At 36.7% G+C, this 20939-nt stretch overlaps 1 protein-coding gene across 1 annotated transcript, besides 2 other annotated features; it reads right to left on the bottom strand.

Moving 5' to 3' along the window:
* Positions 1 to 1819: 1819 nt before the first annotated feature.
* Positions 1820 to 3902, bottom strand: CXCL6 (C-X-C motif chemokine ligand 6). Its single transcript, NM_002993.4, has 4 exons — positions 3721 to 3902; positions 3484 to 3616; positions 3294 to 3377; positions 1820 to 2957 (listed from the first exon to the last, which is right to left on the bottom strand). The coding sequence occupies exons 1-4, from the start codon at positions 3827 to 3829 to the stop codon at positions 2939 to 2941; spliced, it is 345 nt and encodes a 114-aa protein (NP_002984.1). The 5' UTR covers positions 3830 to 3902; the 3' UTR covers positions 1820 to 2938.
* Positions 3634 to 3928: a silencer, noted in NCBI's record as "tiled region #152; HepG2 Repressive non-DNase unmatched - State 22:ReprW, and K562 Repressive non-DNase unmatched - State 23:Low". NCBI's record gives its function as "represses a minimal TATA promoter and a strong SV40 promoter by Sharpr-MPRA in HepG2 and K562 cells {active_cell/tissue: HepG2 | K562}" and the evidence as "EXISTENCE:reporter gene assay evidence [ECO:0000049][PMID:27701403]".
* Positions 7534 to 7828: a silencer, noted in NCBI's record as "tiled region #12152; K562 Repressive DNase matched - State 5:Enh". NCBI's record gives its function as "represses a minimal TATA promoter and a strong SV40 promoter by Sharpr-MPRA in K562 cells {active_cell/tissue: K562}" and the evidence as "EXISTENCE:reporter gene assay evidence [ECO:0000049][PMID:27701403]".

The following is a 20939-nucleotide window of genomic DNA, read 5'->3' as shown; positions in this document are numbered from 1 at the left end:
AATCAAGCATTTTTCAATAAGTATTTTGGAGTTAATGTGACATAGCAGGGATTGTTTTAAACACTGAAATTTAGAGCTCATTTTTGTAATTTGGTTTGCTTTCTAGTATTTCCCCAGAATTACTGTATCATCCATAAGTTCAAAAAAAATACCATTTGAGAGAGCAAAAAGAGACCACAGAAGTTTAATGCATTTTAAAAAATTAGAGATATTTTGTACTTTTTTATTGTTGAAAAAATGATTAGAAAACCCATCTCTGAAGCTACTTTTTAAGTTTTTTCATATCTTTGTGTCTCTTTCTCTCTCTGTTATTTAAATATATCAATATATAATAATTAAAAAATATTAATCCAATTTATATTTTATATATAAAGAGAGAGATAAAACATACAGGAAAGCCTAGGTTAGATATACTAAAGTATACAAGTACGTGCCAATATAAACATATATAATATATTAATCCAGCTGCAGTGTGAATGTATGTATACACATACTAATTCGGTTAGTCTTCTTCGTTTCATTTTCTTGCTTTTCCTAAGAACAGGTATTTTATATGAAACGACACTTTTAATACTAGAGAAACAGAGAGACTTGTTTAACCAGATCACTCATTTGTTTAAATATACACTATGTGCTAGGCATTGTACCAGGAACTGAGATAAAGATGATAAACATTGTCCCTGCTCTCATAGAACTTACAGTGAAGCTAGAATAGATAGACTCTAAACACATGACCACATGTCTATATGCTCTATAAACTCTAAAGTCACCTTCATGAGAAAATGTTATGAATAAAAAGTACAGAGTGCTATGACAGTATATAAAAGGGATCTTAATCTGGGAGGAGTAAGAGTTATAAAGATTGTATCAAGAAAATGATATGTAAGCTATCCCCAAAGGAAGGAAAGATGGGAGGTAGCTAAGTGAAAATGAGGGGTGGGTGGATTACACATGCTAAAGCCCTGTTGGATTACCTGTAGACAAGAAGGAGAAAAGAAGGTGAACAAATTACAATTTAATCAAAATCTACCATGAGCCAGATTATTGATTTTAGTATAACATCTGACTACCTGAGGGTCAGGATAACTTATTAATTCATTAAGTCATTCCATGCCACACATTTGGAATGCAGAGTTGGATGAAATATGGTCGATGTTCTAGGAGAGCTCTTAATACAGTTAGATGAAGAAACCTATAAACAAATAAAAGCAATGGAATATATTTGTTGTAGTGCAGATGTCTAGAAGATGCTATGAGAACACCAAGATGCAAACCACAAGCTTTGCTGAGTGTGCCAAGGAAAATTCACGAAGGAGATATTGCTTGAACTGAGTTCTGAAGGATGAATAAGCCTCCTCTTATACGCAGGAAAACGTAAATGCTTTCCAGGTAGAGACCCTAGCAAATACAAAGTCATGAGCCTGGGGAAAGAACATGCCTAGTTAGGGAACTGAACGCCTGACTATAGTGAATGTGAGGCACAAGGGAAGTTGAAGTACTGATGATCAGGAGTGAGATGAGACAGAACCTCATTCATCATGTTTAGCAACTTTTATTTCATGTCTAGGAAACAGGGAGCCATTTAAGAATTTAGATAGGAAAATCTTATCCTATTTGTGTTTTCTAAAGACCCCAGAGGCTATTGGTGCTGTGAAGGAGTAACTGGAAGGGGGCTGAACATGGAGAAAAGTTGAACCAATGCAATGGTATTGGGGAATGAGGGCCCTCTCTGCCAGCCAGAGAAGAGCAGAGGTAATATTTTGAATAATGTAGAATTAAAGATAAATAGTAACTGTATAAGAAGGAGAAACAACATCAGTGGTTTAGAAATCTTTTATTGTTTCTCCAAATGACAATACAAGTACCAAAAACCAACATGACACACAGGAAAAAATAAAAGTGCAATTTTAATATAGTGAATGTGATACATGTATAATTCCTCATAACAAAATGGTCAAAACCTTTAAAAGATCCACAATAGATATCTGAAAATCTTAGCAATGCTATATATATTTTGAGGACTAAATGATGAATTTATATTCAAATTGTTCAAATATATTTTCAAAACTTTCAGAGCACAGATCATTGTTAATTTTGCTTTTATTTAAAAAACCAAGAGAATACATTTCTATGTAAATTAGCAATCAGGAATTTATCTGTTTTTGGGCTTCTTCATCTATCTAAAGTGTATATTTAGTGACCAGAATTATAGTCATCCTATAGTGAAAAAATAGCATACAAAATCAAAGTTTAATGAGTAAATCATGACATTATGCCATACTAAGAAGACATCAAACGTCTAAAACCATAGGAAGAGAATATATTAGCCCTTACAGAACTTAAATTTTTAGAAATTCTGAATAAGGAAATATATTCTGCACAGATAACGGTATGACACACCCAGTGTTCTAATACAGTACAACTTAAATAGCATCCTAGGGTAAAGAGTAACATATTCCCCAAGAAACAGAACTAAAATATTTCCTATTTTATGAGAAGAGTGAGTAAGAACAACAGGATACCTCCCTCAACAGCACACTAATAAAACATTATTTCCATACGAAATCCACAGCCTTTTCGGTAAGACTTTAAGGAATGTATGATAGAAATACAATAGTTATCTTCAATTCAATATTCATTGAAAGACTAATAACCAGTGATTCTTTGCTCACAATATGGTCAATTGCCAAAGGGTTCAATAACTTATCAGGTAAAATAACAGTAAATAGTGGAAATACTATATTAGTACTTCATTAGCTGAGCTGTAAACTTCAGGGAGAAGCGTAGGCTTTCCCCCACACTCTTCAAAGTAGGGAATCCATGTAGAAAATGGAAAAAAACCAACCCTTCCTTCTTATTCTTACTGGGTCCAGGGATCTCCAGAAAACTGCTCCGCTGAAGACTGGGCAATTTTATGATGCATGGTCTTTTTTGTTACTCAGTTTTTCTTGTTTCCACTGTTGAGAAAAGAGTTATATTAGTATAACCAATTCCCACACTCTTGTATGCTACATTTGGTTTTCAAAAGCGTTTGGTGGGGGAAAAAAATCAATAAAAGCAAAGAGCAGACAAAAAATAGATGTCAGTAATGAGCTCTGTGTAATTGTTCAGGCATGTAAGATTGGTGATAAAGGTTTACCCAGAACATTCCAGAAAAAAAGTTTCCTTATTCTTCTTAACAACCTTATAATTCTAAGCATAGTCTAAATCCTACAGAGAGAATAAGGACATTGTGAAGTATATGCTTTCCATAGAAGATATTAAAACACCACAAAGATCAAAGGGACAAATACCTGTCCAAAATTTTCTGGATGACTTTCTTTAGAAAAGGGGCTTCCGGGTCCAGACAAACTTGCTTCCCGTTCTTCAGGGAGGCTCTGAAGTAAAGAAAAAGAGGATGCACCCATGAGCCACAAAGGTTGACGACCCAGGCTGGAGGACTTGCCTAAGTCACAGTGGACACAGCAACACAGGAGAACTTACACCACTTCCACCTTGGAGCACTGCGGGCCTGCGGGGAACACCTGCAGTTTACCAATCGTTTTGGGGTTTACTCTCAGCGTAACGCGTAAACAAGTGCAACGCAGCTCTGTCAGCACAGCAGAGACAGGACCAGCTGGGGAAGAAAGACATTTTTATAGGGCAGGTTGCTGGGAGAGTTCCCTGGAACGCAGCGGCCCCGCAGAGGCTGGGATGCACCCCAGTGCCAGGAGCTCTCACCGCTGGCGAGGGGCCCCGGCGGCGTCAGCAGGAGCAGCAGCGCGAGCAGCGCGCACAAGGAGCCCGAAGGACCCGGGACACGGGCCGCGCGGCTGGACGGGAGGCTCATAGTGGTCAAGAGAGGGTTCGCGGGTTCCTGAGCTGGGTGGAGGCGCGGAGACTGGAGGATACAGAGCACTTTGGTTTCCTCGTGCCTTCTGCACTCCCTTTATCTGCATTCATCCCTCCCGACTGGCAGGAAACTCAAGCTTTGGGATGCTGGGGAAATTCCCTGAACTCAGGGGGCAGTGTGGAAAGAAGGGGTTGGTGGAGGGGGGCGGGAGGATGGGAATTGGTGGGGTGGGTGGCTGGGAGGAGCTGCCTGCTCCCTTAAGGGGGAGGACATTTTAGCCCCGCCCCGCGGTGGAGGGAGCTGTGGCTCCAGCCAAAATAGAGCAGCGATTCAGCAGGGTCTCATCCCCTGGGCTTGAGGGGTTAGCGAGGCTGGCTTCTCTGAGGCACGCAGCTGTCTGGGAGATGCTCCTCCTCTCCAATGGCCAGGACAATTAGGCAGGAGAAGGAAATAAAGGGTATTCAATTAGGAAAAGAGGAAGTCAAATTGTCCCTATTTGCAAATTACATAATTGTATATCTAGAAAACCCCATGGTCTCAGCCCAAAATCTCCTTAAGCTGATAAGCAACTTCAGCAAAGTCTCAGGATACAAAATCAATGCACAAAAATCACAAGCATTCTTATACACCAATAACAAACAAACAGAGACATGGTCTCAGCCCAAAATCTCCTTAAGCTGATAAGCAACTTCAGCAAAGTCTCAGGATACAAAATCAATGCACAAAAATCACAAGCATTCTTATACACCAATAACAAACAAACAGAGAGCCAAATCATGAGTGAACTCCCATTCACAATTGCTTCAAAGAGAATAAAATACCTAGGAATCCAACTTACAAGGGACATGAAGGACCTCTTCAAGGAGAACTACAAACCACTGCTCAATGAAATAAAAGAGGATACAAACAAATGGAAGAATATTCCATGCTCATGGGTAGGAAAAATCAATATCGTGAATATGGCCATACTGCCCAAGGTAACTTATAGATTCAATACCATCCCCATCAAGCTACCAATGACTTTCTTCACAGAATTGGAAAAAACTACTTGAAAGTTCATATGGAACCAAAAAAGAGCCCGCATGGCCAAGTCAATCCTAAGCCAAAAGAACCAAGCTGGAGGCATCACGCTACCTGACTTCAAACTATACTACAAGGCTACAGTAACCAAAACAGCATGGTACTGGTACCAAAACAGAGATATAGATCAATGGAACAGAACAGAGCCCTCAGAAATAATGCCGCATATCTACAACTATCTGATCTTTGACAAACCTGAGAAAAACAAGCAATAGGGAAAGGATTCCCTATTTAATAAATGGTGCTGGGAAAACTGGCTAGCCATATGTAGAAAGCTGAAACTGGATCCCTTCCTTACACCTTATACAAAAATTAATTCAAGATGGATTAAAGACTTAAACGTTAGACCTGAAACCATAAAAACCCTAGAAGAAAACCTAGGCATTACCCATTCAGGACATAGGCATGGGCAAGGTCTTCATGTATAAAACACCAAAAGCAATGGCAACAAAAGCCAAAATTGACAAATGGGATCTAATTAAACTCAAGAGCTTCTGCACAGCAAAAGAAACTACCATCAGAGTGAACAGGCAACCTACAAAATGGGAGAAAATTTTCGCGACCTACTCATCTGACAAAGGGCTAATATCCAGAACCTACAATGAACTCAAACAAATTTACAACAAAAAAACAAACAACCCCATCAAAAAGTGGATGAAGGACATGAACAGACACTTCTCAAGACATTTATGCAGCCAAAAAACACATGAAACAATGCTCACCATCACTGGCCATCAGAGAAATGCAAATCAAAACCACAATGAGATACCATCTCACACCAGTTAGAATGGCAATCATTAAAAAGTCAGGAAACAACAGGTGCTGGAGAGGATGTGGAGAAATGGGAACACTTTTACACTGTTGGTGGGACTGTAAACTAGTTCAACCAGTGTGGAAGTCAGTGTGGCGATTCCTCAGGGATCTAGAACTACAAATACCATTTGACCCAGCCGTCCCATTACTGGGTATATACCCAAAGGACTATAAATCATGCTGCTATAAAGACACATGCACACGAATGTTTATTGCAGCACTATTCACAATAGCAAAGACTTGGAACCAACCCAAATGTCCAACAATGATAGACTGGATTAAGAAAATGTGGCACATATACACCATGGAATACTATGCAGCCATAAAAAAGGATGAGTTCATGTCCTTTGTAGGGACGTGGATGAAATTGGAAATCATCATTCTCAGTAAACTATCGCAAGGACAAAAAACCAAACACCGCATGTTCTCACTCATAGGTGGGAATTGAACAAGGAGAACACATGGACACAGGAAGGGGAACATCACACTCTGGGGACTGTTGTGGGCTGGGGGGAGGGGGGAGGGATAGCATTAGGAGATGTACCTAATGCTAAATGACGAGTTAATGGGTGCAGCACACCAGCATGGCACATGTATAGATATGTAACTAACCTGCACATTGTGCACATGTACCCTAAAACTTAAAGTATAATAATAATAAAATTAAAAAAAAGAGAGAAAAGTTGGAACCATAGTAGTGGAAGCTTTGACTTGAGAAAAATTTCTGAAAGTCAATCCTTTCTAATTATTATTACTATTATTCAGGAAATGTTATTCATGATTATTGCCCTAAACTGAGAGTCCTTCCTCTTCTTGCAGGCAGGTCATTCTAGGTTTCTTGAATGACTTTTTGATTATCTGGATTTCAAACAGCTTTAGAAGCCAAGATAACGTGATGAAAGAGGCTCTATCCCCACCTGAAGTCAACAAGTTGCCTGAATTGGCCCCAAAGTGAAATCTGTTTATTAGAAATTGTATACTTGTAGTTTAGCAAGCATATGTGTGTTGAGGCAGTTTAATAAACAAAAATATCTTCAAACAAAAATCACCCAGCAAATTGCCATGGAAGATAAAATGTACTTTTGGCGGTTGCTATGCTATTGAATTGGAAGAGGTTTTGGTCTTATTGGGAGTGAAGTGTAGTATGGTGAGCATAGACTGAAGTTTGCCAGGGAGCCCGGGCCTGCCCCAGCTCTGGTCCCACCCCCAGGTGTGTTTTTGACACCATTTGGAGATGCTGTAGGAGGTTGATGAATTTGAGGGGCTCATGTGAAAGCTTCTTCTAGAGATTTGCATCAATTGGGCAGCATAATAGCACCCAGTCTGTTTTCCCCCAAACAACCTCATGGGGGGAGGAATTCTCCCCATAGGCTTCTGGAACCATCTAATTTCATGATTACTGGTGACCAAGGCTGTTTCTGCAGACCTGTTCTAGTCCCCAGTGAGCCCTGCACTGCCTCCTGAAATTGAAGGGTGAAGTAGCTTCCAGCTTCTCCCTCTCTCCTTCTTTGTTATCCGTGGAGGAGTTAAAGCACTGAAGGTTTAAGTGTCTTCCACCGTCTTGCTCCATGGCAGGCATGAGTACGGCACTGGAATGGCACATAGACTTTCTTTCACAGAAGTCTAACTAGATCCTCTTCTGGCTGGTTCTGAAGAACTTTGTCCTCAGTGCAGGCCAGCAAAGGTCATCAGTAAACATGACGGCATTGAGAAGCCAGTTATGGAACACAACTCTTTTCCTTGTCCCTTGTGACACTGGGGAATTTTATTAACTTCCTCTCCTGTCACCTCCATTGGTGAGCAAGAAAGAGGTGTCACAGACCTTTACAATTTTGATTCTGGAAGGAAACAAGAAATTCATTGGCTGAGGAAGGCTGGGTGGTTTGGCCTTCAGTTTGTGGGAAGCTAAATGAGAAGTTCTCACAGCTTCCTGACACCATCAACATCATACCTGACTCAGCAAATGGAATCCTTCATCTTTTTGGGGAGTGGTAATCTGTAGAAAACAGCCTGCAGATTTAGCATATTGACATTTTAAAGATTAGAATGTGTCTAAAGACAAAAGATAAGCCTTGCTGAAATGGCTAAGACAAAACTTCAAAAATGTGACTCAGCTCCTAGGCAATTAATTCAACTTAACCACAGGGAATAAACCACAGTATAAGGCTTTGTTTAAAAAAAAGTTTAGAGATGACATAGGTTATTGACTTTTAAACTCTCTCTCCCTGTCTGTATGTGGGTTAGTTCTGAATAAGCCATTTTAAACATAAATGAACATATGAATTTGTTTTTGGCACCAAATGGTAAAATCAGAGAGGAATCATGAGACAAGATTGCCAGTTCCTCCTGATGGTCTTATAAGTACACATGTCTTACCTGCTTTGCACTCTGAATCAATTCACAAAGGATTATTTATAGAATGTAAGAAGAAAAAATATTTCTGCAGTTGATAAGCAAGTAATAGAAAGTCCCCAATAAAAGTGAGTTGTTGGGTTACCCAACCTAATCAGGAAGCAATGTGTCGCTTTTCCTGGCTTCCCATGAAAATCAGCCTGGGTCATTGTCCATGTCTGGCTTCTATCTAGGCATTCTCTGATGTTGGCCTTGTAAAAATACAGGAGGGAACATGAATGATGCAAAGATCCCCTGAGGTTAAGATGGAAAGCATGAAGAACTACGACAGACATAGGACTTTAAAAGTCATTGCTCCCTTTTCACTAGTTTAAAGGAAAACCATTTGTGTTACCTGCACTGTGTCCAGCTGGTAGAGAAAAGCTCTGTGTTATTTTTGTTCCCAACAATAAGGGAAAAATTCTTCCAATGCCATTTGCATCCTGATGGCCTGAAAAGTTTACTCCCTGTCAAAATCAATCCTATTTTAGTCATTGTACCACAGATTAATATAATATGAATGAAAACATTCCAAAGAGTTTGTGGCGTTCAAAACACTTTTATGCTCATTATTTCTTGAGCTTCACATTTATTCTTTGAGGCTGATTAAAAAAAAAAAAATCTCTCTCCCAGAGAATGAGTTAAGTAATAGAAAATCCAGAATTGGCAGTTAAACACCAGAGAACGTGCCCCAGTAATTTTTAATAGTTTCCAGATTACAAACCACTTTCTTCACAGTTGCTGGCAAACACCCCACAGTGGCTTTCCACAATCTGGGTAACCACTTTATTATATTTCCCAGAAACCACATTTTAAGTTATTGAGAACCTCAATCCATTCACTCCTATCTTTGGGACCACAGTAATATCAAGGGTAAAAGAGACTTCCAACATATTCAACTTGAAACCACTTTCTATATCCCTCACTTTCTTCAAGGCAAATTCAAAGTCCTGTCTTTGAAAAAGCTTATTCTGACAAAGCCAGAATAGAGTATTCCTTCCACCTTTGCTCTTCGAACATCTAGTGTACTTACAATAACCACTGCATGAGGCAGAGTTTAATTACTCCTTAATTTTACTTTTATCTCCCTCAAGTCAACTACGAACTCCTTAAAATCAGTGACGATATCTTACATTTCTCACACAACCTCACATAATTTCTTAGTTCAACAGCGAACAGTCTATGAGCACTTGGTGATGGATAATGATAACAACTTTTTAATTTTACGGTGTTCTTTACCTTACAAGTAGATCTTAAAGAGAAAAGAATGGGGCTGTTTATTGTCATTAACTCCTGTATTTTTTTAAACTTTACAATTTTGAATTGGCTGCCTCCTATGTGGGAAATTATTTCTGGGTTATTCTTAGGGAAAGTTAGAATGATATCAACGATATTTTCTGTCTTTGAATTCAAACTGTTCAAAAGAATGTTCAGAATCCGGCAAGGCACTTGATATTAAAAGAAAAAATACATATAACTAATGTATTAACCAAATTACATAGTTTTTGTGACATAGAGATTGTTGGAGATAAATGACAATGGAAAAATCTGATTACATTACACTGCGTTGAATGTTAACAGTGTGTGTATGTCATTCTAAATTGATTTTTTCTAACTAGAGAAGCCTTTAATTATATGATTTAGTATTTGGCTTAGGTTAGGCCTTTTCAAATGTTTTTTCCAAGATTTTATTTTTTATATTCACCATTCTTTGTATTACCTTTAAGAAATGCTATATAATTGCAATAATTATTATCAGGTTAAGCATATCAAGTGTTTCAGTATAAGGAAGGCAATAAGAGTTTAAGTGGAGGATAGAGTAACTTGCATGTATGCAAAGAAAAAGGAAAAAACACCAGCAACTGCTGAGTTTACTTTGCAATGTGAATGCAGTCTGTCTCCTAAATTGAGCTGGTAGTCCAATGAAGAAGTACTATCATCCAGGGAATGACTTTGCTCCAGGGTTGCTTCACCTTTGCTTTGAAATGCCAGGAATATTTTTCTTCCTTTTGCCAATTATCTAATTTTCCTTGCTGCTCATTTCAGATTATATCTGTTTGAGGACTAAATCAATGAACCTTGACTTAGTCTGTACTGAGCTAGATTTCAAATAATCATAGCTGGGCTTCTCTTCCCCACCTCTTGTGTGGATGGGGCAGCTAGTTATCTGTTGTCCAACTGTGCAAACGTTAGAAAAGTTTTTGTTGACAACAAGAGTTGCTACATAGGATAAAAAAAGATAAGAATTAAAGTTTTAAATGTTTCTAAAAGCCTTAAGTTTTTCAGAAACAGGAAGTCTTCATTGCTTTCTTCAAAAATTTCTTCTGGGCTAAGGAAAGATATATATATATATATATATATATATGTATGTATATTTTAATGTTAGATATTTTAAATAACTTTGAGAAGGCATTTCTATACTACAAAAGTCTTTTATGTAAGTTAGATTTCTAATACTGTGCTAAATAATGCTTGTTTGATATATAATTTCTGATCAACATTACCTTCATAACTTGTATTTTTCAGCAGATACTGTCTTCTGTATTACTTCATAATATATTTAATTCTCATTTAATATATAGTAGAACCTCAGGATTGCCGTTTTAATAGGAATAATTGTAATATATTTGTATATGTGTGATTTTTGTATTTCCTAGACATTCAAAACCGTCTTTTTCCTTCCTTGTCACTGCTTGAAAAAATAGGGAAGACCTAACATTTGACAAGTATCCCAGGCAATGTTCATGAACTTAAAAGACAAACACACAAGTACACCACCACTACCACCAGTGCCCTCACCACATCGACAAAACAAAGATCAAAAGAAAAAAATAAGAAAAAAATATGTCTTAGAGTTGATTTTTTGCCACTAATTCATTAAATCTCATTATGAATTTCCAGTGAATAACTATTTTCATGCATATTTTAAATGTTATTTTTTAGTATAAGAATTGGGAATTAGGAAATTGCTCACACTGACATAAAAGGTGTTGCAATGCCAAGCCAAAAGTCACAAAATCCTAGAAATTCTGGCTAATGTTGGACTATAAGTTTCTTACTAGCATTTTGGGATTTTAAAGCGTGACTTCCTCTGAAGAGTAAATTGACCAAATTGCTTTAACAAAATATTTTACTTTGAATCATTTTGATTTCCAAAAATTGCAGTATTAGTAAATCAGACAGGAAGTTATTTTCTTTGGAACACAATATATTTCTGACGTTAGAAACAGTTTTGACTTTTTTTCCCTAACTTGAATTTGAGACCAGACTGATGAATGCTATGACCGGGAGGGATTATGTCATAGAACAGGAAAACATGTGGTGGCTCATGTATTAGAAATAGACCACAATGTTGCTGTGCACAAGACCGTTCTTTGTAGTAAATGGAAGTTGTGAAAGTTTTGTATTGAACTATATCCAGCCAGCTTTCTGTGATGGTTTGAAAAAAAATTGCTTAAATTCAGGCATATACAGATTGAAAATCAAAGAATGGAAAGAAAAACACCATGCAACCAGTACCATATGAAGTCTAGAGTGGCCTTATAAATATTCAGCAAAACAGACTGCAAGAAAACAAGTATTATCAGAGATACATAAGCACATTTCATAATGATAAATGGTCAATAAATAAAAAAAATTATAAATTTATACATGCTTACTAAATAAGCTTCAAATTACATGAAACAAAACTACCAATTAGAACTTACAACAGGTATTATCTTCAATCACAGTTAGAAATTTTAATACCGTTAAGTAACTAATAGAAGTAGACAAAAATATTAATTAATGTACAAATGATTTGAATAACACTTGATCTACTTCAAAAAGAGCAAGACAATTATTTCTAGTCTCAGTATTTCAACTCTATTTTATGCTAATGGTTATAGGCAGTGAAGTAAGTTTTAAAAAAGAAATAAAGACATAAAAATGAAAAAGGAAGAAATAAAACTGTCCTTATTTGCAGATAAAATTGTCATTAATACAGAAAACTAAAAATAAATTATAAAATATACTGAACCAATAAGTGAATTTAATAAAATTTGAAGATAAAAAGACAATATGTAAAAGTCTACTTTATTTCTGTGTTATACCAGCAAAATATTTGAAAATAGAATTTTTAAAATACCATTTACCATAGCATCAGAATTATAAAACACTTAAGAATAAATTGAACAAAAGATGAACAAGAATTCTATGCTGTATATCACAAGGCTGCAAAAAAAAAAGATAAAAAGACTGAAGCAAATAACAAAGTGTCAATATCATGTTTATAAATTAGAAAACTCAAAATTGCTAAGCTGATAATTCTCCCCAAGTCAGTGTGCACATTCAATGCAACGTTAAATAAAAATCACATTAAGCTGTTTTTGAGAAATTGATACATCACTTATACCATTTATATGAATAAGCAAAGACTTATAACAGCTCAATTTTGAAAAAGAAGAACAAAGAGAAACCACACTATCTGATTTCAAGGCACAATATAAAACACATTAACAAGGACAGTTGGAGTAAGGAGAGACAGAGAGACCCATGAAACCAATTAAAGTACAGGAACAGATACAGATATGCCATCTGTTGAATTTTCATAATGGTTCCTAGGAAATTCAATGAACAGTAATATTTTGAAAGAAAATTATTTTTTTCCCGAGCAGTAGGTCTCAACAGTGGGCTCAAAATATTCAATAAGCCATGCTGTAAACTGTTGTCAAAAGAGTTTTACCATTTCATACTCCCACCCACAAAGGAAGTGTGCCCTGACTACTCCATATCATCATCATCATTCTTTTTAAAATTGTAGCTACTGGTAGGCATTTAGTAGTATCCCATTAAGCTTTTAATTATTATTTCATGATTACTAATGATGTTGAACACCTTTAAGGATGCTTGCTTGCCATTTGTAAATCTCCCTTGTAAAGTGTATTTTCAATTCTTTTGCTCATTGAGAATGCACATAGTCATGTAAGAATTCTGATGGAGATGTACAAAGAAATTAATGTTGCCTTTATGCCTGTGAACACAAAATCTATTCTGCAGCCCATGGATCAAAAAGTAATTTTGACTTTCAAATAGTATTATTTAAGACATACGTTTTGTAAGGCTGTAGCTGCCAGAGATAGTGATTCTTTTGATGGATCTGGGAAAAATAAATTGAAAAATTTTGGGTAAGGATTCATCATTCTAAGTACTGTTAACATTTGTGATTCATAGAAGGAAGTCAAAATGTCAACATTAACAGGAGTTTGGAAGAAGTTGATTTCAACCTTCATGGATAGTTTTAAGAAGTTCAATACTTCAATGGAGGAAATAACTGCAGATGTGGTAGAAATAGTAAGACAATTAGAAGTGGAGCCCGAAGATGTGACTGAATGCTACAATGTCATCACAAAACTTGAATAAATGAAGAATTACTTCTTATGGATGAACAAAGAGTGGTTTCTTGAAATGGAATCTACTCCTGGTGAAAATGCTGTGATGATTGTTGAAATGATAACAAAGGATACGGAGTATTACATCATAAATTTTGTTGATAAAGCAACATCAGGAATTGAAAGGATTGACTCCAATTTTGGAAGAGGTTCTGCTGTGGATAAAATGCTGCCAAACAACATAATGTGCTATAGAGAAATCTTTTGTGAAAGGAAGAGTCAATCAATGCCACAAATCTCATTGCTGACTTCTTTTAAGAAATTGCCACAGCCACCTCAACCATCAGCAGCCAACTTCCTGATCAGTGAGCAGCCATCAACATTGAGGCAAGACTCTCCACCAGGAAAAGTATTATGACGTGGTGAAGGCTTAAACAATTGTTAGCAGTTTTTAGTAATAAAGTATTTTAAAGTTAAGGGATTCTTATTTTGTAGACACAATGCCATAGCACACTTAATAGACTACAGTATCATGTAAACACAACTTTTATATGCACAGGGAAACAAAAAAATTTTGCGACTCACTTTATTTTGATATTCATTTTCTTGCAGTGGTCTGGAACCAAACCCACAATATATCTGCAATGTTCCTGTAAATAAGTAGGGCCTCGAGAAAGGGATTGTCCATGTGTCATATTTTGGAAAAAAAGTTGAGCAAGATTTAAATAAATAGGTAGTTATGATTACTTCTTCATCCTCAATGAGTGACATGCTGAATGCTGCTAAGGGTAGATATTCAATGGTGGCAACAAGAAAGCATTATAATTTTAGTGCTCCTTTAAATGGAAGTGGATTATTTGCTAGTTTTAGGTTAGGTGCTATGTGGCACTGTGGGAGTAACAAGTTGATAGAATATGCTGACTCTGCTGCTGTGGGTACGCAGGAGGAAAACACATTAGTTAGTATTTCAAAATATGATCCTGTTCTGTAAGCCTGTCCCAAAATTACAATAACTGACTCCAATAATCCATCGACTTTGATTCCAGTATTGACAACGTGTTTCACAAAGTTTAATTAAATCATTTTTGTTTTATATTCAATTGGCAGTCTCACATTTGCATTTGATGTCTTCTTCCATTTTGGGCCAATCAATTAATCAATCAGTCAATCTAACCTGGACTCACATTAGTTTTCTGGGGCAAAATTAATTCTGGTTTATCTACAAAATTTTTTTTTTCTGGAATAACTCAGTTTTTACCCTTCTGAAGTGTTTTCTATTGTTCTCTCCTATCCTCTGTTATGGTTCAGATTCTTTCACTGTGAATTTCTGTAAGAACATTCTTTAATGAAAAAGTTCTGCATACTTTTTGCCATCATGTGATTTATAGTACACTATGAAGTTACCGTGAGTAGGACTGCCAACTCCCTGTTCCTCCAACTGTCTTTAGCTAGACTCTGGTAAAGGCACAGGTAAGAGAGGAAGTCATTAGTTTATGCTTGCAAAGTGCTGGGGACATGTTCTCTCAGATTACATATGCGGTTACTTTCCTCAGAGCAAAGAATTCTGGCATTTTGAAATACGAAATGTTATATTTTTTTTTAAATCTGTAAACTCTCATTCTTCTTATCCTGATATAAGAAATTTTCTAAGCCTCAAAATTGATATTATGATGTAAGCTAAAAAAAACTGTGGAATCAACCAAGGTCAGCCCAGGATCTTTAATCAAGTAGGTACCAAAACCTTAAATCACAGCCTCCTTGTACCCTGCCTACAAAGTATGAGAAGTTAAAAGGACTCTATCTAATTGAAAAGCAAATTCTGAAATAAGAGACCCAGAGTAGCTAAAACAATCTTTAAAAAGGAGTAATTTGCAAGACTCATACTTCTCAATTTCAAAATTGCTACATAGCTACAACAATCAAGGCTGTGTAGTACTGGCCTACGGTGGACAATATATACCAATGCAATAGAATTGAGTCCAGAAATAAAACCATAAGTTTATGATCAGTTGGTGTTCAACAAGGGTGCCAAGATAAATAAATGGGAGAAAGAATAGTCTTTTAAATAAATAATGCTGGGCAATCATATATCAATATACAAAAGAGTGAAGTTGGACCACTACTTCACACCATACACAAAATTGGACTCAAAATACATCAGCAACCTAAATATAAGTGCTAAAACTATAAAACTCTTAGGAAAAAAGTTAGGCTTTGATCTTTGTGATCTTGTATTAGATAATTATTTCTTAGATATGACACTAACAACCAAATAACAAATTGGACTTCATTAAAATTTTAAAAAGTTGTGTATCAAAGGACATTAACAAGAAAGTGAAAAGACAGCCCATGAAATGGGAGATAATATTTTCAAATTATATACATGGTAAGCACCTAGTATCCAGAATGTATAAAGAAGTCTTACAGTGCAGTGACACAAAGACAAATAACGCTATTAAAATTGGGAAAAGTATTAAAATATACATCTCTTCAAAGAAAATATACAAATGACCAGGAAGTATGAGAAAAAATGTTCAACATCAATATTAACTAATGTATTCTTCATTGTGCTTAGGGAAATATAAATCAAAACCACAACGAGATAATATAAAGTGTTTCAAGGATGTGGAAAAATTAGAACCCTCATACATTACTGGTGGAAATGTAAATAACGCAGCAGTTTTGGGAAACAGTTAACAATTACTTAAAATGTTAAACATAGAGCTTCTATATGACCCAGCAATCTCACTTTAAGGAATACAACAAAAAGAATTGGAAATATATGTCAATACAAAAACATACTTATGAAAGCTCATAGCAACATTATTTGTAATAGCCGAAAAGTAGGAACAACCAAATGTCCACAATTGAAAAATGGATAATCAGAATGTGGTATAAGAGTTCTTTATATTATTACAATGGAATATTATCCAGCATAAAAGTACTGATTTATGTTACAACATGGATGGGCCTTATGCTAATTTCATTCAGCACAAAGAAAACATTATGCAAAGTAAAAGAAGCTAGATACAAAAAGCTGTTTTGGATGATTCCACTTAAATAAAATGTTCAGAATAGGCAAATCAATTGGACAGGAAAACTAGTGGTTGCCAGGGTCTTGACAAGGGAGGAATGGGGAGTGACTGGTAATGGGTGTGGCTTTGGGGGATGCTTATAATATTCTGGAATTAGATAATAGTGATGATTACACAACTTTGTGAACATTTTTTGAAAACCACTAAAGTGAGCACTTTAAAAGGGTGAATTTTACAGCAGGTGAGTGTAATCTCAATGAAAAAATAATTCCTGGGTGGTGTCCCAGGACCACTACTAAATTAGGATGAGAGAGTGAGGTTGTTAGGAATCTGTATTTTAACAAGCTCTCTAGGAGATTTTTCTTTTGCACACTAATGTTTGAAAAGCATTTCTTTAAAGCATTAAAAAGAGTCTGTCTGACAAATGCTTAGAATGTTCTTACTGGCCTGTTTTTCTCATCAAGCCTTCAGAATATACTTCTGCAGTGCTTCATAAGTCTATAATATAATAATAGTAATGATAACAATAATAAGGTATACCATATCTGTTGTTATGGTTTGTCCCTGTGTCCCCACCCAAATCTCATCTTGAATAGTAATCCCCACATGTGGAGGGAGGGACCTGGTGGGAGGTGATTGAATAATGGGGTGAGGAGGGTTCCTAGGGCAGGGGTGGTTTCCCCCATGCTGCTCTTGTGATAGTGAGCAAGTTCTCACAAGAGCTGATGGCTTTAAGTGTGGCACTTCTCTCTCTGTTTCTCTCTCCCCACTGCTGCTATGTAAGATGTGTCTTGCTTCCCCTTGGCCTTCTGCCACAATTTTAAGTTTCCTAAGGGCTTCCAGCCATAGAGAACTGTGAATCAATTAGACCTCTTTTCTTTATAAATTACCCAGTTTGGGGCAATCCTTTATAGCAGTGTGGAAATGGATTAATATATGTGTCAAGAAAATTTTTAAGAAGTCATACAAGCATCCAGATCACAGCACCTCATGTTTCCCAATTTCTTTCTGCTGATTCAATGCCACATAAAGTCTTTTATTTTGTCTTAGTCAGCTCTTCTGTTCCCTTCAGCACAAATTTGAACCTTCCCTGGTTTAGTCTTTTCAATTCCTCTCTCTCTCTATCTCTCTCTCTCCCTCCCTCCCTCCCTCCCCTTTCTCCCTCTTCTTCTCCCTCTCTATGTCACTCTTTATCATTGTCTGGTAGAAACTTTCTCAATTAATTTCTCCCTGCCTTGCAGAATGACTCTTCATTTGCACCTAGCTTTCTCTATTTTCATTTTATTCATTCAAATACCCAATTTCTATTTACGGAGAATCTTCATTGTGTTAGTGCTCAAGATACATGATGAACAGAGCAGTACAGGACCTTGTCCTCATGGGACTCTCCTCATTTGCTAGTGGGAGAAGTAAAAATAAAACAGTCAAAGAAACAATATAGAGACTATGGTAGATCTATGAGTCAGAGTAACATCACCACTTGATCAAAAAGATCATGGGCTGGGAATGCTTAGCTTAGAACAATGGTCACTAAGAAGGTGAAATTTTAAGCTGACACCAGAAGAATAGAAATGATACACACCTGCAAAGAGCATAGAAATGAGGGTTCCAGGCAGAACACACGGCAGGACAAAAGTCAGAAGCAGGACGAGTTTGCTATGTTTTCATAACTAAGAGTAGCAGCTGATGGCTGGAACTTAGAAAGGGGGAAAATGACATGAGTGAGATCACAGAGGTCATCAGGGACATGGTCATGCAGAAATTTCTAGGCCAAGATGCAGAGTTTATAACTTATTTTATTTGCAGTAGAAAGCAATTCAAGGATGTTATGTTACAAGAAGGTATGATCTGTTTTTTTTTTTGTTTTTGTTTTTGTTTTTTTTTAATCTGACTTCTGTGTGGAAATGTCGTAGTGTCAACTTTGGATTAAGAAACTCAAGTTAGGCTGGGCATGGTGGCTCACGCCTGTAATCCCAGCACTTGAGGAGGCCGAGGTGGGCTGATCACCTGACGTCAGGAGTTCAAGACCAGCCTGGCCAACATGGCGAAACTCCGTCTCTACTAAAAATATAAAAATTAGCCGGGCATGGTGATGTGTGCCTGTAATCCCAGCTACTCAAGAGGCTGAGACGGGAGAATCACTTGAACCCAGGAGGCGGAGGTTACAGTGAGCTGAGATAGCACCACTGCACTCCAACCTGGGTGACAGAGCAAGATTCCATCTCAAGAAAGAAAAAAGAAAAAGAAAGAAAAAGAAACTCAAGTTAGAGGGCAACTCCAACAATCTTGGTGAAAGCTAAGCAAACTATCAGGATGGTCTAAGTCTGGTCTGCCACATGTCTGTAAATAAAGCTTTAGCAAAACACGGCTGCAATGATTTGCACACATTTTACATATGGCTACTTTCACACTGTAATGACGGTGTTGAATAATTGTGAAAGAAACTGTATATCCTGCAAAACAACAACAAAATTACTTTCTGGTCCTTTACGGAAAGTTTGGCAACCCTTGTTCTGGATGAAAAATTATGACGGATTGGGCTAGGATGATATCTATTGAGACATAGAGATGATGAAAGAGTCTCTATATATTTCACAGTTACAACCTCCAGGACATTCTGAAGAGTTTGGATACTGGCAATGGAAGATTCAAGAATGTTTCCTTGTTGTTTGATGGAAACAACTCTGTATGGGGATGCCATTGATTGAGATATGAAAGAATGGGGAAATACATGTTTACACAGCAGTGGAATAAAAAAAAAATCCTCTTTTAGACGTTTAAAATTGTAAATTCCTGTGAAATATCCAAGTGAAAATATCATGGAACAAGTTGTTTATGATTCTGGAACTCAGGGAAGAAGTTTGTGCTGAAGCTATGTGTGTGAGAGACATCACATAAGGAATGACTTGTGGAATCCACCTAGAGAGAGAGCTCACATCATGGTCTCAAATGGTGCATTGAGGACCCCAATATTTAGTGATCATCAGTCTCACTGTTTTTCCTCATGTTCAATTCATTTTCTTCTTCCTGCATTACCCAACTCATTTTTCATCTTCTACAGCACCTGGCTCAATCCTTCATATCAATTTTCCCACAATCTTATAACAGCCCTGCAAAATAAATGTTATTATTTGTGTATACATATAAGGAAAAAAAGGTCCCAGAGAGATTAATCAACTTGTTATAGACACTGTAAATGGTAGTTTCTGGTTACAAGGCCCATAATCTTTTTGCTCTGTAACTTTGCTTCCCAAAGAAACTGCTGATTATCAGTGGGATGTCAGGAATAACTTTTGGTTACTTTGCTGCTCACTCCCTCCTGAGGAGCACCTTGTGCATAAAAGCCTCACAGAACTGGCTTTCTCCAGGGAGATATTGAAAGAGACTTCATGCAGATTCTTTTACCCTAACAGCTTGCTAAAGACAATGATACAATCAGTTACAAATAACAAATGACAATTTAAACAGAAAAGAAGTATATTTTAAAAAGACACTCAGAAGCTCACATAAATTTTAGGAGGGCCAGAGAGCAAGTCTCAGAGGATGCACATCGAGAACGATGCCCAAATTCATGTAGCAGAACCAGACTGGTGAAGGTAAAGTAAGCTTTTCCCACAGGTCAGAGACACCATGGCTTGCATCGCTGACACTCAACATGCAACACTGGGCAGTGGATGCTTTTATTATAGCTGCTGCTGCAGCTACTGCTAAAACAAGTTATAGCTGCTGTCACTGCCACTACCTGCTGCTACAGTTACCCATCTAGGTGGGTCTCACCATAAACCACCTTCTTCATTTTGTGTTGAAACCTATCAGGGACTTCTGATACATCTCCTGAGACACTTATTATTTAAAGGCATGAGAAACTGCACTGAGCAAAGGTGGGGTTTTCCTATTCCTCTTCATCTATCTGGTGATATCATCCTAACTATAAAACACTAATTTTGTAATAAGCAAACAAATTCATCCTGATTGATATGGAGGTCAAAATTACTGCTTTTATAACTGGCCTTAAATAGACAATTAAGAGTATTATAATCAATAGACATTTACATGCTGTTTTTCAGAATTCTTTTTGAATTGGTGATATATTTGGATAATGGGATCTTGTAATAACTCTCTTGCCCACTCTTTACCAATAGTCCTATTATGCAACAGATGTCCTAATGTCACTAATCTCTAATAAAGCAATCCCCAAGACTTATTCTAACACTTCCATGAATCACTGATTAATTTAATAATTTGTCTTGTGAATAGCCAACATTCACTTTATGTAGAGAAAGTACCATAATCCTATCCATGAATGACCCTTCAATATACCCTGCTAATACATATGCAATGAAACTTTCCTCAATTAACAGCTATTTGTATTCAACTCATGAGGTCTTCTAAGAGGATATGCAAGACGAAAAGAGATTA

Source organism: Homo sapiens, chromosome 4, assembly GCF_000001405.40.
Source record: "Homo sapiens chromosome 4, GRCh38.p14 Primary Assembly".
NCBI classification, from domain to species: domain Eukaryota; kingdom Metazoa; phylum Chordata; class Mammalia; order Primates; family Hominidae; genus Homo; species Homo sapiens.
The sequence above is the reverse complement of the archived record's forward strand: the minus strand, read 5'-3'. Positions and strand labels throughout refer to the sequence as shown.

What these genes read in the sequence shown, in the direction of transcription:
- CXCL6 (NM_002993.4), bottom strand. Translation starts at nt 3,829, where the DNA reads ATGAGCCTCCCGTCCAGCCGCGCGGCCCGTGTCCCGGGTCCTTCGGGC. An exon ending in GCCGGGGCCCCTCGCCAGCG is followed by an intron (nt 3,617 to 3,720) that starts GTGAGAGCTCCT and finishes TTTCTTCCCCAG; the next exon opens with CTGGTCCTGTCTCTGCTGTG. An exon ending in TGCTCCAAGGTGGAAGTGGT is followed by an intron (nt 3,378 to 3,483) that starts GTAAGTTCTCCT and finishes TCTTTACTTCAG; the next exon opens with AGCCTCCCTGAAGAACGGGA.